The following is a 25,874-nucleotide window of genomic DNA, read 5'->3' as shown; positions in this document are numbered from 1 at the left end:
CTTGGAGCCTTAATATAATTATGATAACTGGCACTTATCATGTGCCAGTCATCATAAAAAACACGTTACATAGCTGTCCATTTTATAAATGAGGAAACTGAGGCTCAGAGGGGTAACTTGCCCAGGATTATACAGCGAGCAGCTAGCAGGTGTCAGAGCTGACTGTTGCTCAAAATACCATGCTCTTAGCCACATGCCCCATTTGAGTCTCAGCTTCCAACTCTGACCCCTGCTTGGTGGTTGTCCAAGGACCACTGAGAGGCCCCATGACAGATGATGGACAGAATGGGAGCAGGACCCAGGAGCCTGGGCCCAGGCAGGAAGAAGCCAAGGGTCAATGGCTCCACCTGCTGGTGCTGTGTACAACCCACAGCCAGCCAAGCCCAGGAAGCTCCTGACAGTTTTGACCTGGGCACACTTGGCCAGTATGCCTTGGACAAAAGGTTCGGGGGCACAGGCCAGGATTTCTCTGAGGGTCGCTTCCAGATCCCTTCCCAGGAAACACCGGTGCTGGCTCGCCTGCTCAAGAACTGCTCCCTAAGACTGTCCATCTTCCCTCCTGGTCAGAAAACACGTTGTTATCCAAACACACCCCTCGCTTCCCCACCTCTAGATCTCTACTCATGCTGTTCCCTGTGCCTGGCATATCATCTACTCTCCTTGTGCGCCAAAATCCTACTCATGCTTTAGAGCCCAACTCAGATGTCACTTCCTCCCTGGTGCCTTCACTATGTGGAATGTATCCACTGTCATTGAATTTCATTTATTCATTTGCTCATCATAGAGACCCCTGGGCCAGGCTGTGACCATTTCCCCTTCACATGCCTCTGGTTTGTCTCCTGTTTCAGTCCTGCCTTGTGGTTTTCACACAGCTGATGCTCAATAAATGCGTGCTGAGCAAACTCACAAGGCTGGGGTGTTCAGGTCTGATCATGTGCGTGTGCGCAGGTGGCTGCACTTACAGAGAGACGCCTGAAGAGGGCAGCACACTGGGGCGCTAACTTGGAGAGTGAGGCCGCGTGATTTGTTAGAGGAGGAAGCCGGAGGGCGGAGGGAGGGCCAGCCCCTCCCCCTCAACTCGGGCTCCAGACGTAGTTTGAGTCCCCTGTGCCCCCACTTTGCTGGGTGACCTTGGGCTTTGGGGTTGGTTCCAGGAGCCACTCAGCCAGGCCAGCCCGCCTGGCGGACGCCATTCCCAGGAGATGACCAGGCCCTGGACAGCCGACACTTGGAAGACTGCCACGTCCTGCCTCCGCAGGAGCCGCAGCTCCCCGGGGCTGCAGGGAAGTGGTGGCTGGGCTGGGGGGGTGGGGGGTGAGCCCGCGGGGACTCCAGGCTCCAGGTGCCCACACCATCCCGGGGGTGGGCAGTCAGGGCCAAGAACGCACAGTAAACCCCCAGCACACACAAGCGCACACACGCACATGCTGACAGCACTCGCATTTTTAAGATGGGGAAATAGAGGCTCAGAGGGGGCATGCGCGTTCCTGCCCCTCAGGATCACCAGCCTGCCCCCAGGAGAAAAGGGAAGGGAACAAGGCTGATGGCTGGTTCCACCAACTGGGCGCCCGGGCTCAGGGTGAATGTGGGGGGCTGTGACCCCTGAGACGTTGGATCTGCCTCCCTGGTATGGTTTGGATGTTTGTCCTCTCCGAATCTCTCACTGAAACGTGACTCCCAGTGTTAGAAGTGGGGCCTGGTGGGGGGTGTTTGGGTCATGGGACAGACCCTCATCAGTGGCTCTTTGCAGTAATGACTGAGGTCTGGTTGTTGAAAAGAGCCTGGCACCTCCCTCCCCGACTTGCCCCCGTCTCGCCATGTGATGCGCCGGATCCCCTTCCCCGTTTACCATGCGTAAAAGCTTCCTGAGGCCTCACCAGAGGCACATGCCGGTGCCATGCTTCCTACACAGCCTGTAGAACACCAAGTCAAATAAACGCCTTTTCTTTATAAATTACCCAGCCTCACGTGTTCCTTTATCACAACACTAAATGGACGAACACACCCCTAGAGCCGCCTTCCTGACCATAGGCTCCTATTCCTTGCGGGTGCCTCCAGGCTCAGGGGAGCTCGCCACCCTGCAGGGCTAGCAGCAGACGTGCTGATCCCACACAGTGAACAGCTTGAGCTTGTTTCAAAACAGGCCGGCTGAACACATGGGAGTCACAGGGACCCGGCAGAGCCTGGAAGGCATCAGGTGGGTGGGAATGCTTTTCCCCCAGCAGGAGCCCTCATGGGCTCCTGGCCCAGCCTGTCTGAGTCTGCCTTTGTCTGCTTCTTTGGGACCCCCTGACTCCAAGCCCCATCAAGCTTGCATCTCCACACCCAGCCCCAGTGTTAGCTATCGACCCAGGCCTGTATTTCTTTGTCCTTTATTTTTATTTTTATTTTTATTTTTTGAGACAGAGTCTTACTCCATCACCCAGGCTGGAGTGCAGTGGCACAATCTCGGCTCACTGCAGCCTCTGCCTCCCGGGTTCAAATGATTCTCATGTCTCAACCTCCCGAGTAGCTGAGATTACAGGCGTGCGCCACCATGCCTGGCTGATTTTTGTATTTTTAGTAGAGACGGGGTTTCAGCATGTTGGCCAGGCTGGTCTCAAACTCCTGACCTCAAGTGATCCACCCGCCTTGGCCTCCCGAACTGCTGGGATTACAGGCGTGAGCCACCACACCTGGCCTTCATCCTTTAGGAGATCATGAGAGGCCACTCTGCCCTCCTCTGGGGCCACCCCTTCCTTCATCCCTTCCTCCCGGCTGGACTCTTTACCACCCCAGTGCTAGCTCCGCTGGTGGCAGTAAGAGCTGGCATGGTAAGCGCCTCCTCCATTCCGGGCTCTGTGCCCACAGCAGCCCTGAGAGCTGGTACTGCTGGTGGTCCCCCCGCACACCTCCATGCCTGGGCCCAACCATTTCTCTGTGTCCCCTCATCAGCCCCTACCCGTACAGTCCCAGAGGCCATCATCTCCCTCCTGACTCCCCACGGGCCTCCCTGCCACCACGCTCTCCCCCAACAGTTCTTTCTCCTCACAGCACTCAGAGTCATCTGCTAAAAATGGAGTCCAATTACATCTCTCCCCTGCTCAAGACCCTCCATGGCTCCCTATTGCTCTGAGAGAAAACCCGACCTCCTTTCAGGCCCTCTGTGATCACTGGATGTGGGTGGAACTCCAGCCCCTGCCCTTCGCTCACTCTGCTCCAGCCACGTCACCTCCTCCGGGCTCCTACATGCCCCAATCACATTCCCACCTCAGGGTCTTTGCAAATGCTATTCCCTCTGCCTAGAAGCCTCTCTTCCCAGGTCCTCCTCATTCCTGGGCACCTGGGAAGCCTCCACCTCCTAGTTCAGATCTTTGCTGCAAGGCCACCTCCTCAGAGAGCCCTTTCCTGACCACCTTGGTTCATTCTGTATTAACATGTTTTCTTGTTCACTCACAAAGACTGAAACCCACGACAGCAGCAACTTTGTTTTTTTTCCCATTTGGTTTCCCCAGCCCCTAGAGCATCCTGGCACATGGCACCTAATCAATAAATATTCCTTGAATTAATGCATCTAGATTCTACCAAGGCCTAAGAGTAGGAAGGACAGAGACTAACTAGGAGCCTGACCCTGTCTACCCCCACCCCCATTCCTGCTGCTACTTTCCAGCCTGGATTCCTCAATCACTCCAGGGTGGCCCTTTAGGATTGGATTCTGTGCTGCCCAGAGGCTGCCACACCACAGCTGAGGGCCGCCCTAATACAATGCCAGATGTTCCCCAGCACGGCCACCCTGCCTCCATGCCAGGGACTATTCTAATTGCTTTAAATATACCAACTTGTTTCTTCCGTGCAATAGCCTATTTTACATGTGAAGAAACAGGCACAGAGAAGGTAAGTGACTTGCCCAAGCTCACACAGCCAGGAAGTGGCAGAACTAGCATTTGAGCCCAGGCAGCCTGGCCTCAGGGTGCATCTTCCCAACTATATCACATAGAGTGGGACCCTGTGCGGAGCACATCCTGGACACCCGCCCTGGGCGTTTCAGCACTCTCCTGCCCTCAATCTCTTGCCACATCACCACCCTGGACATCGCCCTCTCCTGATGAAGAACCTATGATGGCTCCTATACTCGTAGAAGCCTGGACCTTCAGCCTGGCATTGAGGCCTTGCACAGCTGGCCTGATCCTGCTTTCCCAACACACCCCACTGCTCTGGGCTGCACCCTGGGGTGCCCAGACCACCGCCTGTGTCCGGAAGGCCTCTGCCCGGACTGCTCCCTCTGCAGGGATGCCATTCCTCCACCCTCACTCCGTGAGCCCGTCCCGGGCCCCAAGGCTCAGCTCAAATGCTGCCCAACCCCGCCCACCCTCCTCTGCACACACCCCCAAGGGCCAGAGCTCACTTCACAGACACAGAGAACTCCCCTGGGGAGCTCTCACTCTCCCGGATCAGGAAGGCTCCCAGATGGTTCCGCTTCATCAGAATCTCTTCGGCCAGCTGCCGGGAAATCCTGCCCGAGTACCACCTGCGGAGAGAGGGAGCCGGTGAAGGCAGTGTGAGACCAGGCTCTCAGCCAGCCTCCCACCCCGTGCCAGGTGTTCAAGGTCTGAGACAAGGGAGATGTGATTGCACCCATTTTACAGATGGGAAAACTGAGGCACAGAGAGGTGAAGCAATACACCCACAATCACACAGCAGAGGCAGGCAGGAGCTGGAACACAATCCCAGCATTTTAGCTCCTGAGGCCAGCCTCTCCTACCATGCCAGCAAACACATACCCTTATGGAAACAGAAAAGTCACACTCCAGTGAGCCACACCCCAGCCAACCTCAGTCTAACTTTCCCTTTGAGATGGTAGATTCTTTAAAGTCAAAAAATAAATCAGGCTCGGTGGTGCGTGACCGTAGTTCAGCTACTCGGGAGGCTGAGATGGGAGGATCACTTGAGGCCAAGACTTTGAGACCAGCCTGGGGAATAGAGAACCTCCCACCCCCATTCCTTAAAAAAATACTTCTGGCCGGGTGCGGTGGCTCCCGCCTGTAATCCCAGCACTTTAGGAGGCCGAGGCGGGAGGATCACGAGGTCAGAAGATCAAGACCATCCTGGCTAACACGGTGAAACCCCATCTCTACTAAAAATACAAAAAAATTAGCCGAGCGTGGCGGCATGCACCTGTAGTCCCAGCTGCTGGGGAGGCTGAGGCAGGAGAATGGCATGAACCCAGGAGGCGGTGCTTGCAGTGAGCCGAGATCGCACCACTGTCCTCCAGCCTGGGTGACAGAGCAAGACTCCGTCTCAAAAACAAACAAACAAACACTTTTTTTAAAAAATAGAGTCTTGTTCTGCCGTCCAGGTTGGAGTGCGGTGGCATGATCTCAGCTCACTGCAACCTCCGCCTCCTGGGTTCAAGTGATTCTCCTGTCTCAGCCTCCCGAGTAGCTGGGACTACAGGTGTGTGCCACCGCCCCGGCTAATATACATATATACATATTTTTTTGTATTTTTAGTAGAGACAGGGTTTCACCATGTTAGCCAGGATGGTTTTGATCTCCTGACCTCGTGATCCGCCCACCGCAGCCTCCCAAAGTACTGGGATTACAGGCGTGAGCCACCGCACCCGGCAAAAAAAAAAAAACTTCTTAAGTCGAAAATATAAAAACATGACAAAAATAATAGTAGCTTTGATATGGTGAGGAAATATCCATTCCACAGTCTCAGGCCACCTGAATTTTTTTCACAGGCACAAGTTCCTTTTGCTGCTGACCAAACAGAACTGGGTATGCAGAAGTTGCCTGGTAAATGCTTAGACTCTTGCAAGATCCCCAGGGTCTGGGAGTGAAACTCCTTTTCCAGTCCTGCTTATCTTGCTGTGTGGCTCCTGGTAGCTCCTGGTAGCCCCCGGCCTCTTCAGGAATTTGCCACTGCTATAGGCTGACTTTCTGTCCCCCAAAATTCAAATATTGAAACCTAATCCCCCATGTGACAGCAGTAAAAGGTGGGGTCATTGGGAGGTGATTAGCAGTCCCCATGAATGGGATTGGTGCCCTTATGAAAGAGACCCCAGAGAGCTCACTTGTCTCTCTGCCATGTGAGGACACAGCTAAAAGACACAGCCGTCTGTGAACCAGGAAGTAGCCTCATCAGACGTGAATTTGCCGGCACCTTGATCTTGAACTTCAGACTCCAGAACAGTGAGCAACAAATGTCTGTTGTTCATAAGCTACCCAGTGGATGGCATTCCGTGACAGCAGCCTGCAGGACTAGAACACCCACCATCGGAGGGGCTGTGTGGTCTCTGACTGGCTTTCCTAACTCCAGTGTTTTAGCCCAGCTTTGGCTCTGACCCCTTTATTGTTCGGATGGGGAAACTGAGGCCCAGAGCAGCCACAGGTCTCGTGGTGGCACCATGACAGAATGTTCCCCTTCACTCCTTCCATAAATGCTCCTCTCCCTGAGTCAGACTGAGCTCGGCACAGGTGGTGGAAGCCAGGCGGGGCTTTTCCTGTTGTTTCGGATGTTGATGAGCCCTCGGGGCTGAGTGCAGAAGGCGTGCGGTGCTGCACATGCCGCTAGTGTCCTGGCCATGTCCCGGCGCCGGCCTTGGCAGGATGAAGGCTGCTCAGTACAGACCTCGGGGCCTTTTTTCTGGTGATTGACATATTTGGCCTGGGTTCAGGGCAGGCTGAGGCTCCCAGGAACAGTCTGACTCCCAGTGGTGACTGATGGAGCAGAGGGGTAGACGCCCCAGCGCCTGGCCTTCCGGAGGCATGACTCCTAGGTGCGCATTCTGTACTGTCTCCAGCTGGCCCTGGTCCCCAGCCAGATGGAGCTCCGGTTACCCCCAGCAGCGATGACGCCAACAGTTTGCCCCACTGGCTCCCCCACTTCCCTGTCCTCTTCTCCACTGTTATATAAATTCCTTGTTATCAGGCTCGTGTCTCAGGGACGGCTTCCGGAGAAACCCGAACTCCTAGACATGAGATTCTAGACCACTGCTGCCCCCAAACGAATGGGGGCCCCTCGGCCCCTGTCCCAGCGAGTTTCCTTCTGGGAGGGGACGTGGGGAAGGTAGCCGCTGGGTATAGGGCTCAGGGCAACCATCCGGAGAGCTCAGCCTGGGTCTTCTGGGGTTTGGAGACCTGAAGGCAGGTGCCCAGCCAGCCTGGGTGTCTCAAGGCCAGAGGTGAATGCCACAGGCTGCAGCAGGAGGGGAGCGTAGGGGGCCCAGGGTTGGGGTTACCAGGCAGGGGAGCTGCAGAGAGCTTCTCCACCAGGAAGCCCCCAGCTCCGTCCCGCAACAGTGCCCAGCGTGGCCCAGGGCGGGAGTTTCCTGAGGGGGCAGGTTTCTTCGAAGAACCCACAAAACTCCTCAGGCGGCATCAGTGTGTGGGTGGCTGTTGCCCTCAGAGAGCATCGCAATCACACCCTCCCAGGAGTTCCCACGTCCCCTGCCAGCCCTGCCCCCACCATGGCTTGACGGATGGAGGCAAGAAGAAAGCACTTCCTGAAACTCCAGGGCCCGGCTCCTTCCCCCACACCAGTGTCACTCCATTTGTGGCCATCTCGCATCATTCCTGTTTTACTGATGTGGAAACCGAGGCCCAGATAGGGGCAGAGACGCCCCCACACCCCACCAGATTGCATAGCAAGTGCATGGCCTGGGACTCTCCCAGTCCCACAGCTGTTCTTATGAGCTTCCCCGCTGTCCTCCAGGGTGTCCCAGCCCAGGGCCATGCCACACGGCTGCAGTCCCGCTCCACCTCGTGCCAGCTGTGAGATCCTGGGGGGGCACTCAACCTCTCTGTGCCTCTGTCTGCTAATCTCAAAGATGGCGATGGTGGTGCTCAGCTCTCAGGGCCTTGGGAGGATGCATGAGCTGCTCGTACGCGGGTGTTTGCTGCTCCCCCCACACATCCCCCTGCCAGGCTTGTCTCTGCCTTCCCTGGCAGACATCTACTTGAACTTCCAGGCCCAGCGGGCCACACCCTTCCTCTAGGAAGCCATCCCTGACTCCCATGGGCCGTGAGGCTGGGTCACTTGCCGCTGTGGCCCCTGCTGATGGGGCTGGCTCTGGAGCACTTGGCGTACATTGTGCCTCCCCCGGGGGCTCCTGGGGTTGGCAGGGGTGAGAGGGGGTGCCCAGGGAAGGAGTGGGCCTGGCATAGGCACGAGGCCTACCTCTGAATTTCTGAGGCCCCAGCCCTCCCTCTGACCCCACACCTGAGGCCTTTATGGGCTAAGTCAGGTATGGAGCTGGAGTTTCCCCATAGTTATTTTGGGGAGCAAGGCAGGTGCTGAGGTTAGTCGAGGACACACCTGGGCATCACTTCAGGCAGGTTACTCGGGGGCTTGACCCCATCCCTGCTGTGTCCCAGACACAAATGGCCAGAGATGACCCCAGAGGCATGGGAGGCTGAAACCCTCCATGGCTCCCAACTGCCCTGCTAGAGTCTTGCCTCGACCACTGGCATCCCCTCGACAGGCCTGGCCCGGCACTGCGGTCTTTTGTCATCTTTTCTCCCCTGCCTGAGCAAATGCGACCCTCTCAGCAGCTGTAGGCCAGCCAGCCTTCCAGCCATTGCCAGGCCATTTCCTCCACCTGAAGGCCCCTCCCTGACAGCTTGGCCCAGGGGGATTGCTCCCGTTCATGCCCTCTGGCATGTCTGGATGGTCCCATTGGCTTACAGGGGCCTGGGGCACTGGCTCCAGCTTGTGGCCCTGGGTCGGATTCTCTCGTCTCTCTCCCTCTTCGCACACCCCCCTCCCTCTCCCCCTTAATTGACAGAAAGATCACAGAAACCTGCCCAATGTCACACAACCACGCGGGACATAGTGGGGCCTGGAACCCAGGCTGCCGCCCCAGATGCCGACTGGAAGCTGCAGCCTCTGTGGGGGAGGCTGGGAGTGCCTGCAGCCCGGGCAGGTGGCTGAGGACCTGGGTCGGAGGGGGCCTCGCCCAGCACAGGAAGCTGGAGGTGGTGGCAGCTTTGGAACTAACTTAAAGAGAGATAAAGAGGAAATACCTCTCATGCCCCACCCTGGCCCTGCACCTCCTTCCCTTCCCACCGCACAGCCACACACACATCTCAGCTCCCAAACTGTCCCGCCAGCCTGCTTGGCCCTGTCACCTGTCTCCATATCTGACTGAGTCCTACCATAACACCTCCATGGCTCCCCACATGGCTTGGCATTTGGGGGCCTCCTGCCAGTCCCACATGCCACAAGTTCTCTCTCATTGCTCTCCCTTTGCTCATCCTGACCCTCTCCCAGGGATGCCTTTCTCTTTTTCTACTTAACCAACTCCTACACATCCTTCAAAACCTCACTCATTGCCACCTCTTCTGAGAAGCCTTCCCTGAGAAATCACCTTAATGCTCACTGTCTTCCCATGTAGTATGTCCTTCATGTCCTCTTTCTCCCCCAGAACACAGCTGCTCTGACCCCTTGTGTCTCCAGCATCACCCGGGCTGGACCCCCTGGAATTGTGGCCAGTGTTTAGTGAATGACTAAGTGGCTGTATCTTGGGGCTGCCTCAGCTGCCATTTAAAGCATATCCAGTTGGTTTGCATAGATTTCTTGGGCCCCATGCCTGTTCTGAGGCTGGGCCCTGCCCCAGTCATTCTCAGGGCAGCAGTGTTGGCTGCCACCTGCCCAGAGCCCAACCTGGGACATCCCTAGGCTGGTAGGTCCCAGGCCCCAGGATAGCTGGGCCCCAGGCCCAGTTCTTGCTCCACCCTGGTACCAGACTCTGCTCTGCCAATGTCCAACTCCCCCCCAGACTCCAAAGGCAGGGCCTACAGGGTCTGCTTCCCGCCCAGCCCTCTCCCAGCCACAACCCAGGGCCGGGCCAGCTCTCAGCAAGAGCTCTAGAACCCTCCACCCTGAACAGATTGGAGCATCTGCCCTCCTTGAGTTATAGATAGGAAAACTGAGGAACAGAGGGCAGGGACCTGCCTGAGGCCACACAGCAGCCAGTGGCGCAGCCAGCTGAAAGCCCAGGGCCTTGTCCTCTCTCGGGGACCTCCTGGACATTCTCCAGTGGCTCACGTCCTCAGTGTGGAAGCCTGGGCTTGCCCTGACTCTGTCCCCACTCTGGGGAAGTCCTCAGAACTCAGTCTCCTATGCCTGCCCAGGCTGGTGGCCTCTGTGGAGCCTGGGGGCCCCAGACAGATGGACAGAGGCCCAGGAGTGAGGGGGTCCCATGGCCAGGAGAGATAGAGCCACGGGGATGGGATGGGGCTGTCCACTCACGGATGGGGCTTGACGCGGATGTAGTTCTTGGGAATAAATCCCTCGACACCCCGGAGCTCGGCCTTGTACCAGTTCTGGTCATCCTCCATGTTCAGGATCTGTGGGCAGGAGACACAAAGCCACTCAGTCACCGAGAAGGAACAACTGTCACCCCCGGAGGCCCCACTGCACGCCAGGCCCCAGGTGGGCCTCGCCTGCACCAGCTTCTGTGCCTACTCACAGAGCAGGGCTGGGGGCCTGGGACAGGACTTGCCCATGGTCCCAAGGGCTGAATTAGAAGCCCTCGTTCCTCAGTGCTGCCCATCCCCTGGCCCCAGGACAGCCCATCCTCAGGTGATTCACAGACTCCAAGGGAGGCACAGTCGGGGACTCGTAGGAGGCTTGGGGTGGCTGGAGCTGGATTCTCAGGCTCCGACACCAGGAGCCCTGCGGACCATGGGGTTTGCAGGAGCAGAACTGGGGACCTGAGTTCCTTCCTGGGTTGTGCCCCCGAGTTTGGGGGGCCCACAGCACTTACATGCCACGCACTGAGCCTTGGGGTGAAGGTCGGGGGACCCGGCCTGAGCACAGCCACCAGTGGTCACCTAGGGTCCCTCGCATTTAGACAGCTCAGGGGTGACAATTCAGTGGGGGGACGTCAGGCTCTGGGGAGCAGATAAGGGGGCCTTTGGTCTGAGACAGACTGGTTCTCAGCCCTGGCATGGCCTGCTCGGTCACACGGGCTCCTCTTCCGAGCCTGTGAGGCCCCCATCACACCACAGGTGGGCCCGGAGGAACTGAAATAGCCAGAGCCGGGGTGGGAGTCCCTGAGGGGGAGCAACCAAGCGACCAAGGCGGGGGGCGGGGCCGGGCCTGGGAGGGGCACAGCATGAGGCCGGGGGTCCTGCCTCCATTCCCTGGGCACGCCTTCCGTCTGTCCCCCTGATTCTCATATAGCCCCCAAGGTCAACATCACCAAATGCTATTTTACAAATAACAAAACTGAGGCCCACAGGGGAAGTGACTTGGCCAAGGCCACGCAGCAGGGGAGAGGCAGAGCCTGTTTGGTCAGTCAGGACTCTGAGGCCTGGAGTTTTTGGCTCACTGGTCAAGGGGGTCCTGGCCCACCAATTTTTGCCTCCAGTCCTCTTTGTCACTGGACTCCAGCTTGAGGGGACATCTCTCCTGTGAGGGGACATCTCTCCTGTCAGTCCTGGAGCAGGTTCCAATGTCAGCTCAATCCTTCAGGGGTACTTGAGAGAAAAAATTGGGCACGGGGTACCAAAGGCCCAGGGCGGGCCAATACAGGGGCATCAACTCCAGCAGTGATATTTTGCCAAGAGTAGCTGGGATTGGCCTCCTAGGGCCCAGGCCTGAGGCCCCACCCTCACAGGTGGCCTCTGCACCCCCATCTCCACCCCCGCTTTGTCCACCAGGCCAGGCTGGCTGAGCCTCTTCCTTCCTGCCCCTGCAGCCTGGGCCAGGTCAGCAGACCCAGGGGTGAACGGAAGCAGGTGGCTGACTCAGGAAAACTTTCGCTCAACACAAAACAAAACAGGCCGGGCGCAGTGGTTCACGCCTGTAATCCCAGCACTTTGGGAGGCTGAAGAGGGTGGACCACCTGAGGTCAGGAGTTCAAGACTAGCCTGGCCAACATGGCGAAACCCCGTCTCTACTAAAAATACAAAAAAATTAGCCAAGTATGGTGGCATACTCTCATAATCCCCAACTTTCTCAGGAGGCTGAGGCAGGAGAATCACTTGAACCCGGGAGCTGGAGGCTGCAGTGAGCCGAGATCGCGCCATTGCACTCCAGCCTGGGCAACAGAGTGAGACTCCGTCTCAAAAAAACAAAACAACTCCCCCAACCTAAGGAGAAAATGAGGGCCTGTAGGCCACATACCACAGCCATGGATTCCAGGAGGATGCCCTGAAGCCTGGGGCTCCAGAACATTCTGTCTGCTTCTGACTCTCTCTGTGGCCTTGGCCTCAGTGTCCTCCCTCGTCTGTCCAATGGGTGCATTTATGGCCTGCCCTGCATGCAGCAGTGCGGACACTGGGTGGAATACGTCTCATGCAGTCCCTGCTTCGTTTTGTCTCTTTGTCATCTGCACTCAGAGGACTCAGGAATGTCCCATTGGTTACATTAGCTAATTTCTTTTTCTTTTTTCTTTTTTTTTTTCTTTTTGAGATGGAGTCTCACTCTGTCACCAGGCTGGAGTGCAGTGGCGCAATCTCAGCTCACTGCAACCTCTGCCTCCTGGGTTCAAGCGATTCTCCTGCCTCAGCCTCCCGAGTAGCTGGGACTACAGGTGTGTGCCACCACGCCCAGCTAAATTTTTGTATTTTTAGTAGAGATGGGGTTTCACCATGTTGGCCAGGCTGGTCTCGATCTCTTGACCTCACGTTAACTGATTTCTTACTGTGAACATTGTTTGAAAGCCCCAGACCCTCTGAGACCCGGGAATTCTCACAAGGGAGAGAGGCCAACTCCTCCCTGGAGGAGTATCACTGCTCAAGGTGAGAGGCAGAACTTGGCCTGCCCCTGAGCCTTTGCCCACATGGTGCCCTCCACCCAGGCTGCCGCCCCACTTTACCATCCCAGCCCGATGCAGTTGCTGCTTGATAGTTGTTTACTGAGCACCTACTGTGTGCCAGGCACCCCACGACAGAGCAGGGAACAAGAAGCTCACATTCTAGTAGGCAGAGACAGACCATAAACAAGGGAAGAAACAAATAAGCAAGGTAGTTTAATGGAGCAGTAAGCGCTGTGAAAAATGGACATCAGGTGACAGATGGAGAATGTCTGGTTGGGTGGGAGCAGGGAGATTGTCAACACGGGACAGGTGGGGTGGTCCAGAAAGGCCTCTCTGAAGAAGTGACATGGAAGCTGAGACCCGAATTACAAGAAGGAACCAGCGGTAAGAAAATGTGGGGAACAGTGTCCAAGACGGACGGAACAGCCAGTGCCAAGGCTCTGAGGTGGGGCCAAGCTCTGTCCCTGAAACAGAAAGGAGGCCAGGGTGTCTGGAGCTGAGGGAGGGAGGAGCAGATGTCATAAGATGTACGGGGGAGGACCAGGCTCTGAGTCATGGCCACTGCATGGAGACTGGGCTGGGGAGCAGGGATTGTTGCGGGGAGGCCTTGGGAGCCACCACGCAAGCCCAGGTAAGTGACAATGGAGGCCTGGGCTGGAGGAGGGGCTTCGGGTAGGTTTTGCCAGAGTTGCCGACAAGACAATGACAGGCAGCAGAAAGTAGGTTCAGGGAGCCCAGGGCTGGCTGTGTTGGGTCTGGACCGTCGCCCTTTCCCATGGAGATGTCAAGGTGACATGGGCTTCCTGAGTCTGGGTCTCATCATCCAGGCTGCTCGTGCAGAGATGGGAGTGAAGCCACTAACCACATGCCCCTCCAGCTGGCAACAGCATGGGGGTGCGTGCACCCAGAAACGCCTGGCCTATCAGGGAGGGAGGCTTTGTCCCAGGGAGGTGATGTTTGGGGCCATTTGTCCAGGGTGAGTCCATGAGCCAGAGTTTTCATCCAAGACCAAAGTTCAGATTTCAAGAACGGGCTTCATCGCCCACTCTCCCAGGCTGGACTCAATCTGTAGGCAGGCAGTGCCATGGCAGGGGCTGGCCCACAGGGAGCACTGGAAAATACTTGCTAGACGAGAGGACAGGATGGTCGCGGAGCTCAGCTTCCACCCCAGCCACTTGATCCCTCCAAGCCTGGCTCAACGCCTCCCGCGCACCCCATTCCTATTTCATCACTGCCCCACTCCCTCCCAACACCACACTTGGGTCTAGAGACCTCGAAGTGCTCTCAGATGAGAAACCAAGACTTGGATCCCCGCAGAGGGTCATGCCTTGGGCTCACAGCCCCAGTGCTCAGCCTGGCCCTGTCCCCATCTGGCCACATGTCCACGAGGCCGACAGCCAGCACTGCAGTGACCCCAGGTGCCAGCACCAGCACCCCAGCATAGAGAAGGAGGAATTGCTCCTCCTCCTCTGGACCCCAACCCCCAGCCCAGCCTGTTCAGACCAAGCGCAAGTTCCACAGCCAAAGGGACACGGGTTCAAAACTGACTCCATACCGAGCAGGTCATGTTGCCTCCCTGTGCCTCAGTTTAGTCACCTGTGAAATGGGGGTGCCAGTCCCCATTGCTTAAATGGTACATGAGGTGTGCTGCTGAGTTCGGGGCCTGGCTATAGCAGGGTGATGGCACAGGGAGCTCTCCCGTCTTGTGCTTGAAGCTTGTGGCCAAGGGCAGCGCCCAGGGCTCAGCGCAGAGGAGCATCCAGTCTAACACCCATTGCTCCAGTGGGGAAACTGAGGCCCAGGGAAGGGCAGTCACTTCCCTAGTGTGGTTTACTGGCAGTTCCAGTGCACACGTCTTGGCATGGCCACTCCCAGAATCCTGGGCATGGCTTTCATATGCAAACTTTTAAGCAAGGACATTTCCAGAGACACATTCCACAGGCCCAACTGTCTAGACCGTCTTGGAAGGCTGCAACATCTGTCAAAAGCGGCCCAGACAAGGAGAAATGAACGGTGGTATGACTCTATTTTCCCTTTTCTCCACACTACTGGGAAGCTCATCCTTGACACTTTCATCTTAGCTATTTTAGCCCTACTAGGTTAGCATGTGTACTTATTTCTTTCCTAAGACCTTCTCTCTCTCCCTCTTTCTCGCTCTGTTCTCCATTCCCATACTCTGTCTCTCTCTCTAGCTCTCATTCTCTCCCTCTCTCAACAATTTTCTTTTCAAACTTTTTCCTGGAAAACTGGGGGTTGAACTAACTCCTGCCAGACACTGTGGTAATATCTCATCGAATCCTCACAACAGCCCCAAAGGAGGGTCATTAGTTATCTCCCCATTTCCTAGATGGAGAATCTGAGGCTCCGAGGGAAAAGGTGGCTTGTCCAGAGTCACACAGCCAATAACTGGAGAGGCTGGGCCTGTCTTCCAGGGGCCACAGTCTGCTTGGGACAGTCCCAGGTCCCTGGTTCCTAAATCCACCCCCACCCCGTGTGGGGCCAACTCAGCAGGCTCCAGCCCCCCTACCTTGAGTGTGTCTCCCTTGTTGAAGGCCAGCTCGTCGCTCTCTGTAGCCTGAAAGCTGTACAGGGCCACGGACTCCATGCCGCTGCTCGGGGCTCCAGCAGCTGGGCTCAGAGCTGGGCCGACAGCTTCCTGCTTCCTCTGCAGTCGAGGACGGTCTTCCTTTGTTTTGAGTGCGCGTTTGTTCTTTTGAAGTTGAGACTGAAACTGCTCCTGATGGGGGAGAAACAGGAAACAGACATGTCACAGAGCAGGGAGGGCTTGTGAGCCAGCTCTGTCCCTACCTCAGACCCCAGGTGCCAGGAATGGCCCTTGGGGAGTCTCCCTGAAGCTCTGGGAGTGGGGCCCCCTTGTGCCCATGTTTTATCATCCGTAAAAGTGAGGTGCCTGGAGGAGAAGTGCCAAAGCTGTCCTGCTGGCTCAGGCACTGAGTCTCATGGCACCAGATGCTGGCCTCCCTTCACCAATCTGCCAATGACTCTCCATCTTTTCCTAAACCCTGATGCCTCTTGTGATGCCCTGCCTCCTGCTCCTTCAATCCCAAGCTCCTCACCTGGCATTCAAGGCCCTTGCAATCCACCACCTCCACCTGCCCCTACAAACAGCCCCCATTCTCATCCTTTGTCATCCCCTTCACTCTAAACAAACCCAGGGCTTCAGCCACAGCAAGGGGCCACACCAAACTCTCATTTCAACCCCAGACTTTTGCACACGTGGTTCCTCTGCCTGGTGTTCTCCTCTTTCTGCTCCCAGGAGACTCCTATTCATCCATCAAAGACCAGCTCAGAAGGTACCTCTTCTGGTTTAGACACTGGGCACCTTAGGTGGGACTTAAATCCTAAGGTCAACAAGACTTGTAGGTCGGTCGCGATGGCTCATGCCTATAATCCCAGCACTTTGAGAGGCCAAGATGGGCGGATCACTGGAGGTCAGGAGTTCGAGATCAGCCTGGCCAACATGGTGAAGCCTCATCTCTAATAAAAATACAAAAAATTAGCCTGGCATGGTGGCATGTGCCTGTAATCCCAGCTACTGGGAAGGCTGAGGCACAAGAATCGCTTGAACCCGGGAGGCAGAGGCTGCAGTGAGCCAAGGATCCATCCAGGCTCCAAGCAATCCTCCCACCTCAGCCTCCAGAGTAGCTCGGACTACAGGTGCCCACCACCATGTCTGGCTAATTATTTGTATTTTTAGTAGAGATGGGTTTTCACCATGTTACCAAGGCTGGTCTTGAATTCCTGGACTCAAGCGATCCTCCTGCCTGAGATTGCGCCATTGCACTCCAGCCTGGGTGACAGAGCGAGTCTCCTTCTCAAAAAAAAAAAAAAAAAAAAAAGAGAATTGTAAATAAATCTCTACCTTTCCTTAGTGGGTTTGTTATGAGCAGTGTTATCGGTGTAGCAATTCTGAAACTGTTTTGCAAGTGTTGCAGGATAGCGCACAAATGGACAAGCACAGCTGTATTGTTTGGAACCAGGGTTCTCCCTGGGAAAGAAGGGAGACACAGACGTGGAAGGAAAACCAGGCAGAGCCCTGTGGTGTTGCATGGACACTGGATGAATCAGTGTGAAGTCACATTGTTTTTTTTCTGTAAAGAAGTTTTTCTTCCTTCATTTATATTAATATGGACTCATGGTTTCATATTTTAGCCAGTGGATTATAATCCATTACTATTACATTTATTTTGATGCTTAAAATGCCCCTGATTAGGCCAGTGGGGTCTCCTTCAAGCTGTCTCCTTATCCTTTTGACATGGACCCATCATTCTATGAACACACCCTGACCTTCTGGCCAATAATAGAAGAATCGCTTGAACCTGGGAGATGGAAGTTGCAGTGAGCCGAGATCGCACCATTGCACTCTAGCCTGGGTGACACATCAAGACTCCATCTCAAAAAAAAAAAAAAAAATAGTTGAGAGGGAAGAAGAGAAGATGACAGCTGCCCGCCGCCCACTCTGGAGTCCCTGAGCCAACCAGGCAGGATGGAGCTGGCCCTGGCCTCACCCAGCTCCATTCCAGGGCTTCTCCACGCTGCCCTCTACTCAAAGACCCCTGCCTTCTGGCTGCCCCCGACCCCAAGGGTGACAGGATGTTATAAGGCCCCTCTTTCCGGCTCTGTTGCAGTTGAGGTTTCAAAGCCTCAGAATGATGCAATGGAGGGGTTGGGATCGGCCCCCGCCTCAGTTCTGAGGTGCTTCTAGCCATATGAGGGGAGGAGGACTTCCCCTTATGAAGCTGAATGGGTGTCCCCTGGGGCGGTGGGACAGATGCCGGGTTTATTTTTATGTGTTTTAGAAGTATTTATTCTCTGCCAAGTCCTTTACAAAGAGGTAAGTGACCAATAGTTGGTAGGTGGCAGGGCTGGGGTTCAAACCCAGGCAGGCCTGAGGGCCAAACCATGCCTACAACTCCTTCGCCGCATGGCCTCAACCCGAAGGATTCCTGCCCAAGGTGGCTCGGGCCAGAGCTGGGAGCCTGGGCTGCCTACTGTACAGTGAGCTCAAGGAGTGCAGTGAGGTAAGCAGCAAAGCTTTGTTGGAGGGTAAATCTGCCCTGATTCCGGGAGACCAGAGAGGACCCCACAAATGGGACTTGACTGAGAGGACCCTTGAAGAATGCAGCACCCCAAATGAGGCAGACGCTGGGGCCTGGAACGAGGGGCCATCGGAAACTGGAGGCTTGGGCCAGGCGCGGTGGCTCATGCCTGTAATCCCAGCACTTTGGGAGGTCAAGGCAGGCAGATCACTTGAGGCCAGGAGTTCGAGACCAGCCTGACCAACATGGTGAAACCCTGTCTCTACCAAAAATACAAAATTAGGCTGGGCACGGTGGCTCACATCTGCAATCCCAGCACTTTGGGAGGCCGAGGCAGGTGGATCACCTGAGGTTAGGAGTTTGAGACCAGCCTGGCCAACATAGTGAAACCCCGTCTCTACTAAAAATAAAAAATTAGCTAGGCGTGGTGGCGAGTGCCTATAATCCCAGCTACTTGGGAGGCTGAGGCAGGAGAATCACTTGAACCCAGGAGACGGAAGTTGCAGTGAGCCAAGATCATGCCACTGCACTCCAGCCTGGGCGACAAGAGTGAAACTCCATCTCAAAAAATGTATATACAAAATTAGCCGGGAGTGGTGGCGCACGCCTGTAATCCCAGCTACTTGGGAAGCTGAGGCAGGAGAATTGCTTGAACCCAGGAGGCGGAGGTTGCAGTGAGCCGAGATCACCCCATTATACTCCAGCCTGGGCAACAAAAGAGAAACCCTATCTCAAAAAAAAAAAAAAAACAAAAAAACAACAAAATAAGGAGTTTTGGAAACCAAGGTTTTATTATGCAGATGAAGCCTCCAGGTAGCTGGCTTCAGAGAGAATATAGTGTAAATGTTTCTTATCAGACTGAAAGAGTCCGTTCTAACAGTAATTCCAAAAGCGAGGAGGTTATAACAAGGCATGTCCAGCTCCCCCTTCCCATCATATCCTGAACTCATTTTCAGGTTAACTTTGGAATGCCCTTGCCGAGAGAAGGAGTCCATTTGGATGGTTAAGGGGCTTAGGATTTTGGTTTTGGTTTATGGAGGTCCCTCAAAAGCTGCTCACAGGAGGAAAACTCATCACTGGCCACAGGCCACACCAGGCCAGGGCAGACCCAGCCACTGTCTCAGTGCTGAAACCCTAACCCCCTGTGATCAGCTGAGTAACAGCCCCGAAGACATCCAGGTCCTGATCTCAAGAACTTGGAACGTTCCCTTATATGACAAGAGGGACTTTGCCGGTGCGATTATGTTAAGGGTCGTGAGATTGGATGGAAACTGCAATTTCAATGCAGTTTGAGTTCTGTAATTAGTAGACTGGGCTAGACTACTGGACCCTGGAACACTCCAAACAGGCTGATTGGGGAACTTTTTATCATCAGAGATTGGCTGAAACACCTGAGAGAACTCCCTGAAAAAAAATTTTTTTGAGACAGAGTTTTGCTTTTGTTGCCTGAACTAGAGTGCAGTGGCATGATCTCAGCTCACTGCAACCTCCACCTCCCTGTGTCTACTTGAAATACAAAAATTGGCCAGGCATGGTGGCGCACGCCTGTAGTCCCAGCTACTTGGAAATAGAATCACTTGAACCTGGGAGGTGGAGATTGCAGTGAGCAGAGATCGTGCCACTGCACTCCAGCCTGGGTGACAGAGGGAGACTCTGTCTCAGAAAAAAAAAAAAAAAAAGAAAGAAAGAAAGAAAAGAAAATGAAGAAACAGGCCAGGCATGGTGGCTCACACCTGTAATCCCAGCACTTTGGGAAGCTGGAGCAGGAGGAATGCTTGAACCCAGGAGTTCAAGACCAGCCTGGACAACATAGTGAGAACCCATCTCTACAAAAATAAACAACAACAAAAATAGGCCAGGCATGGTGGCTCTCACCTGTAATCCCAGCTACTCAGGAGGCTGAGGTGGGAGGATCGTTTCGGTCCTGGATTTCAAGGTGATAGTGAGCTATGATCACACCATTGTACTCCTGCCTCTGAGGACAGAGCGAGACTTTGTCTGGAAAAAAAAAAAGAAAATGCAAATGAAGAAACATGGATTCATGAACATCTATGAATATTTGGTTTAAAAAGGTGAGGCCATGGTGTTTGCACTGAGATCATGGCCCCTCTTGCCCTTCCTCTCAGCTCAGTGAGGCTGAGACTCCACTCTGGACAGCTGCAGCCAAGAACATGGGGTCCCCTGCTGCCTCCAGACCAGGGAAACAGGGCTCCCTCTGCCCCCAGCTCCCAGTGGGAGGGCTTGCCTCCCACGAAGAACAGGACATCCATTTCCTATTCTACCCCCAGCCACCTGTTGCTGAGACTAAGTCCTGGATGAGTGTAGCCAAGAGTTGGGGGCCCCCTTCTTGCACCCAGCCCCACTCAAGGAACAGAGGCTCTGCCTTGGGTGCAGTGTGCTGCGAGTGCTGGGGTCCTGATCACTCCGGCCCTGGCTCATGTGGAAGTAGCTCGACAACAGGAGAGGCAAACTTTGAGGACCTCGGCCATTGTCCCCACTCCCACCAAGTCCTCAGCCCCTAGCGCAGGGTGTCACTCAGAGAGAAGCTTTCCAAAGTCTCCACCCCCAGCTCCAGGGCCCTGGCTCAGAGAGATTTTTGTCTAATGAAGAAACAGGCCATAAAAAAGAGACTTCCTAATCTCTTCCCAAAGCAACTGACCTCATTTGCTACAGAGAACGAAGGAATTCAAGGCAAAAGTTGCTTTTGTTTTGATTTTGGTTAGGTTTGTTTGAGAGTGCAGTGATGCGATCTCCGCTCACTGCAACCTCCGCCTCCTGGGTTCAAGCGATTCTCCTGCCTCGGCCTCCCGAGTAGCTGGGATTACAGGTGCCTACCACCACACCCAGCTAATTTTTTTTTTTTAAGTAGAGACGGGGTTTGCACCATGTTGACCAGGCTGGTCTCGAACTCCCGACCTCAGGTGATCCGCCCACCTCAGCCTCCCAAAGTGCTGGGATTACAGGCGTGAGCCACCGCACCCGGCCCAAAAGGTGCTTTTGAGAATAGTAGAGATTATGGTGAGAGATAATTAGGAGAAGATTCAAGACACAAGCTGAACTCTAGGCTGCTCGTTTACAGGAGAGAACAGGGAATAGCACCAGTAGAGGGAGCCCTCCTGAGGTCAGAACAAATAGCAGACATTGACCTCACACACTATTTCTTCCAAGGAGCCAAACTTGATAGGATCAGTGTGTAGTGCAGGGCATTATAGGAAATTATAAAGCAATCCATTGGCAACTTGCAGAGCTTATTTCAACCAAGCAAGGATTAGAAAAAGAAGGGCTGGGTGCAGTGGCTCATGCCTAAAATCCCAACACTTTGGGAGGCTGAGGTGGGTGGATCACTAGGTCAGGAGTTCAAGACCAGCCTGGCCAAGACGGTCAAACCCCGTCTCTACTAAAAAACAAAAAATACAATAATTAGCCGGGCGTGGTGGCAGGTGCCTGTAATCCCAACTACTTGGGAGGCTGAGTCAGAGGATTGCTTGAACCCGGGAGGCGGAGGTTGCAGTGAGCCGAGATTGTGCCACTGCACTCCAGCCTGGGCGACAGAGCGAGACTCCATCTCAAAAAAAAAAAAAAAAAGAGAAGAAAGAAAGAAAGAAAAAAGAAAAGAAAATTTGCATAGCTTAACAGCTGGATATGGTCAGGGAAAGAGGAAGAGAGCCTTCCAAAACCACTGTCATCCCAGAGTAACTGCAGGCATACTCAAAGCTGGGCCCCCTGAGAACGACCATAGAAGCTGAACATCGTACGGAAGAAATAGACTTCACTAAAACAATCCAGCCAGTCACTAAACAAATAAACAAGAAAATAATAACAAGCCCAGGTCAGGGGAGACTCATACCCAGAATTGCTACAATGTATTATTTAAATGTCCTGTTTCCAAAAAAAAAAAAAAAAATATGAAGCCTGCAAAAAATTTAATAAACAGGAAAGCATGACCCATAGATAGGGGGAAATGCAGGCAAAGGAAACTGCCTGTGAGAGGGCACATGTTGATTTATCAGAAAAAGACTTTAAAGTAGCCATTATACACACGTTCATAAAACCAAAGGAAACTGTGACTAAATAAATAAAGGAATGTATGATGATGGCGTTTCATCAAATAGAGAATACCGATAAAAAGATAGAAATTGCCAGGCACGGTGGTTCACGCCTGTAATCCCAGCACTTTGGGAGGCCGAGGCGGGTGGATCACGAGGTCAGGAGTTTGAGACCAGCCTGGCCAACATGGTGAAACCCTGTCTCTACTAAAGATTAAAAAAAAAAAAAATTAACTGGGTATGGTGGTGCATACCTATAATCCCAGCTACTCGGGAGGCTGAGACAGGAGAATCCCTTGAACCTGGGAGGTAGAGGTTGCGGTGAGCTGAGATTGCACCATTGCACTCCAACCTGGGCGACAGGGCAAGACTCCGAATTAAAAAAAAAAAAAATCGAAATTATAAAAAAAAAAAACAAATGGAAATTATGAAGTTGAAAAGTATAGTAACTAAAATAGCCGGGTGCAGTGGCTCACCCCTGTAATCCCAGCACTTTTGGAGGCCAGAGATGGTGAAACCCCATCTCTACTAAAAATACAAAATTAGCCAGGCATGGTGGCGGGCACCTGTAATCCCAGCTACTCGGGAGGCTGAGGCAGGAGAATCGCTTGAACCCGGGAGGCAGAGGTTACAGTGAGCCAAGATCACGCCACTGCACTCCAGCCTGGGCGACAAGAGTGAAACTCTGTCTCAAAAAAATAAAAAAAAAGAAAAGAAAGAAAAGAAAAGTATAGTAACTGAAATAAAACATTCATTAAAGGGATTCACCAGCTAATTTTGAAATTCATATGGAATTGCAAATGATCTACAACGGCCAAAAAAATCTTGATAAAGAAAAAAAAAAATGGCTGAGTGTGGCGGCTCGCGCCTGTAATCCCAGCACTTTGGAAAGCCCAGGCAGGAGAATCACTGGAGCCCAAGAAGTCAAGTCTGCAGTGAGCAGAGATCGCATCACTACACTCCAGGCTGGGCCACAGAGCAAGACCTTGTCTCAAAGAATAAAAACCAGAAACAACCAACAAACAAATAACAATAATTAAATAAAAATAAAAAACGCAGGGGTACGTTTTCATGCCTTGTATTTGTCAATGGAACCTTTGATATGATACTCAAAATACAAGCAATGAAATGATAAATTGTATTTTATCAAAATTAAAACTTTTGCTCATCAAAGGACACTTTCAAGAAAGTGAAAAGATAACCTACAGAATGGAAGAAAATATTTGTAAATAACAAATCTGGTGAAAGTTTCATATCCAGAATACACAAGAACTCATAGAATTCAATACTAGAACACAAACAACAATTTAAAACACAATTTAAAAATGGGCAAAGGATCCTAAAAGACTTTTCCTCAAATAAGGTATACAAATGGCTCACAGCTCCTGAAAGATGCTCAACCTCATTTGTCATTAGGGAAATGCAAGTCGAACCCACAATGACACACCCTTCACATCCCTAGGATGGCTATTAAGCCATGCCTGCTGTCTTGATGACCCCTGCCCCTGTCTGCCCCCCTGTCCTTGCTGGTGCCTGAGCTCCATTGGAGCGGACTCATTGCTGGCTCCCGGCACTACCAAGCTGGGACCTGGAATATCTTGGTGCCGCTAGAGTGAAAAGACTCATTAATCACGGTCAGTCAGATCCTTCCAGGGCTAAGAGACCAGCCAGGGTGGCCTCAGCTTCTCCCTAACTTTGGATCCTAAAAAGGAAGCCCTGGCTGGGCGTGGTGGCTCACGCCTGTAATCCCAGCACTTTGGGAGGCCGAGGCAGGAGGATCACCTGAGGTCAGGAGTTTGAGACCAGCCTGGCTAACATGATGAAATCCCATTTCTACTAAAAAAAAATACAAAAAATTAGCCAGGCATGGTGGCATGAACCTGTAATCTCAGCTACTTGGGAGGCTGAGGCGGGAGACTCACTTGAACCCGGGAGGCGGAGGTTGCGGTGAGCCGAGACTGTGCCACTGCACTCCAGCCTGGGCGACAGAGCAAGACTCCATCTCAAAAAAAAAAAAAAAAAGGAAGCCCTGAGTTCTACCCAGTTTGGCCCTTTGAGGGTGAGAGATCCCACTATTACCCAAGCCTGGCTGTTCTGGGTATGTAAGTTGGGGGACAGTGCGGATCACAGTTCAGGAACCACTCCCACAGCCCCAAGAGCCTCCCTAACCCCACCAAGTCCACCTTTGACCTCTTCTCTGAGCTCCAAATGCCTCTTGGGCGCCATCCCCTGGACGTTTCTCAGATGTATAACAGCCCAGATAAAACTCATCATTGCCGGGCGTGGTCGCTCACCCGGCACCCGTGACAAATAAAATGTTTTTTTAAAGTATCTATAGGCTGGGCATGGTGGCTCACGCCTGTAATCCCCGCACTTTGGGAGGCCAAGGTGGGCAGATCACGAGGTCAGGAGATCGAGACTATCCTGGCTAACATGGTAAAACCCCGTCTCTACTAAAAATACAAAAAGTTAGCCGGGCATGTTGGCACGCACCTGTGGTCCCAGCTACTTGGGAGGCTGAGGCAGGAGAATCGCTTGAACCCAGGAGGCGGAGGTTGCAGTGAACCGAGATCGTGCCACTGCACTCCAGCCTGGGCTACGTAGCAAGACTCCATCTAAAAAAACAAACAAAACACCACATTTTATTTGGGCCAGGCTTGGTGGCTCACGCCTGTAATCCCAGCACTTTGGGAGGCCAAGGCGGGCGGATCACCTGAGGTCGGGAGTTGGAGACCAGCCTCACCAACATGGAGAAACCCCATCTCTACTAAAAATACAAAATTAGCCAGGCATGGTGGCACATGCCTGTAATCCCAGCTACTCGGGAGGCTGAGGCAGGAGAATTGCTTGAACCCGGGAGGTGGAGGTTGCGGTGAGCTGAGATCATGCCATTACACTCCAGCCTGAGCAAGAAGAGTGAAACTCCGTCTCAAAAAATAAAAATATATATTTGTGGTTAGGCATGGTGACTCAGGCTTACACCTGTAATCCTAGAACTTTGGGAGGCCGAGGTAGGAGGATTGCTTGAGGCCAGGAGTTCAAGACTAGCCTGGGCAACATAGCAAGATCCCATCTCTACAGAAAAGTAAATTTTTAAAAATTATGACATTTTGAGCTGCATGATGAAAAAAATTTAAAAAGAAAGAAAGAAGGGCCGGGCGCGGTGGCTCACGCCTGTAATCCCAGCACTTTGGGAGGTCGAGGTGGGCGGATCATGAGGTCAGGAGATCAAGACCATCCTGGCTAACGCGGTGAAACCCCATCTCTACTAAAAATACAAAAAATTAGCTGGGCATGGTGGTGGGTGCCTGCAGTCCCAGCTACTCAGGAGGCTGAGGCAGGAGAATGGCGTGAACCATTCTCCATTCTCGGAGCTTGCAGTGAGCCGAGATTGTGCCATTGTACTCCAGCCTGGGCGACAGAGCAAGACTCCGTCACAAAAAAAAAAAAAAGAAAGAAAGAAAGAAAGAAAGAAAGAAAATTGGCCACGTGTGTTAGTGCACACCTGTAGTCCCAACTAGACAGGATGCTGAGGCGGGAGGATCTCCTGAGCCCAGGAGTTCAAGGCTGCAGTGAGCTGTGATCGTGCCACTGCTCTCCAGCCTAAGATACGGGAAAAACCAAAGCGTTTTTCTTTTCTTTTTTTTCTGCTGTCATTGTATGAAATAGTCCATAGGTTTCCATTATATCCAGTTATAGAGGGTGTTACTGAGTTACGGATTTTCTGCCTGCTGGATCTGTCCGTTTCTGATAGAGGGACATTGAAGTCGCCAACTATAATAGTTTCTCCTTGCGGTGCTGTCGCTTTTTCCCTCACATATTTTGATGTTCTCTTGTTAGGATCATACATGTTAAGGACTGTTATGTCTTCTTTGAGCATTGACTCCTTAATCATTATGTAATGCCCTGTCCTTATCCCGGATGACTCTCTTTTCTTTTCTTTTTGTTTTTCAGACAAGGTCTCTGCGAACCAGGCTGGAGTGCAGGGATCTCGGCTCAATGCAACCTCTGCCTCCCACG

At 53.4% G+C, this 25,874-nt stretch overlaps 1 protein-coding gene and 1 long non-coding RNA gene across 6 annotated transcripts in view, besides 4 other annotated features; both read right to left on the bottom strand.

Moving 5' to 3' along the window:
* The window catches only part of GRAPL (GRB2 related adaptor protein like), a 31,599-nt gene extending 16,215 nt beyond the window's left edge, over nt 1-15,384 (bottom strand). For all 5 annotated transcript variants that reach the window (XR_007065298.1, XM_017024636.3, NM_001129778.3 and 2 more), the window contains exons 1-3: nt 15,276-15,384; nt 10,234-10,331; nt 4,385-4,507 (exon numbers count right to left, since the gene is read on the bottom strand). Coding sequence is in view for 4 of the 5 variants with exons in the window: in XM_017024636.3 (XP_016880125.1) it covers nt 4,385-4,507; nt 10,234-10,331; nt 15,276-15,353 (299 nt within the window). In the remaining variant the exon portion in view is untranslated. The remainder of the gene's footprint in view (nt 1-4,384; nt 4,508-10,233; nt 10,332-15,275) is intronic.
* Nucleotides 933-1,533: an enhancer, noted in NCBI's record as "H3K4me1 hESC enhancer chr17:19044753-19045353 (GRCh37/hg19 assembly coordinates)". NCBI's record gives its function as "activates a minimal SCP1, AML or CMV promoter by ChIP-STARR-seq in naive H9 embryonic stem cells {active_cell/tissue: H9 hESC(naive)}" and the evidence as "EXISTENCE:reporter gene assay evidence [ECO:0000049][PMID:30033119]".
* Nucleotides 1,534-2,135: an enhancer, noted in NCBI's record as "H3K4me1 hESC enhancer chr17:19044151-19044752 (GRCh37/hg19 assembly coordinates)". NCBI's record gives its function as "activates a minimal SCP1, AML or CMV promoter by ChIP-STARR-seq in naive H9 embryonic stem cells {active_cell/tissue: H9 hESC(naive)}" and the evidence as "EXISTENCE:reporter gene assay evidence [ECO:0000049][PMID:30033119]".
* Nucleotides 14,712-15,443: an enhancer, noted in NCBI's record as "H3K27ac-H3K4me1 hESC enhancer chr17:19030843-19031574 (GRCh37/hg19 assembly coordinates)". NCBI's record gives its function as "activates a minimal SCP1, AML or CMV promoter by ChIP-STARR-seq in naive H9 embryonic stem cells {active_cell/tissue: H9 hESC(naive)}" and the evidence as "EXISTENCE:reporter gene assay evidence [ECO:0000049][PMID:30033119]".
* Nucleotides 17,128-24,370, bottom strand: LOC124903946 (uncharacterized). The gene is made up of 3 exons (XR_007065656.1): nt 24,348-24,370; nt 19,684-19,806; nt 17,128-17,162 (listed from the first exon to the last, which is right to left on the bottom strand). It is a non-coding gene; the product is annotated as an uncharacterized LOC124903946 (long non-coding RNA).
* Nucleotides 19,638-20,137: an enhancer, noted in NCBI's record as "H3K4me1 hESC enhancer chr17:19026149-19026648 (GRCh37/hg19 assembly coordinates)". NCBI's record gives its function as "activates a minimal SCP1, AML or CMV promoter by ChIP-STARR-seq in primed H9 embryonic stem cells {active_cell/tissue: H9 hESC(primed)}" and the evidence as "EXISTENCE:reporter gene assay evidence [ECO:0000049][PMID:30033119]".
* Nucleotides 24,371-25,874: the final 1,504 nt, after the last annotated feature.

This window comes from Homo sapiens, chromosome 17, assembly GCF_000001405.40.
Source record: "Homo sapiens chromosome 17, GRCh38.p14 Primary Assembly".
Taxonomy (NCBI): Eukaryota; Metazoa; Chordata; class Mammalia; order Primates; family Hominidae; genus Homo; species Homo sapiens.
This window is presented reverse-complemented; position numbering and strand designations above follow the sequence as displayed.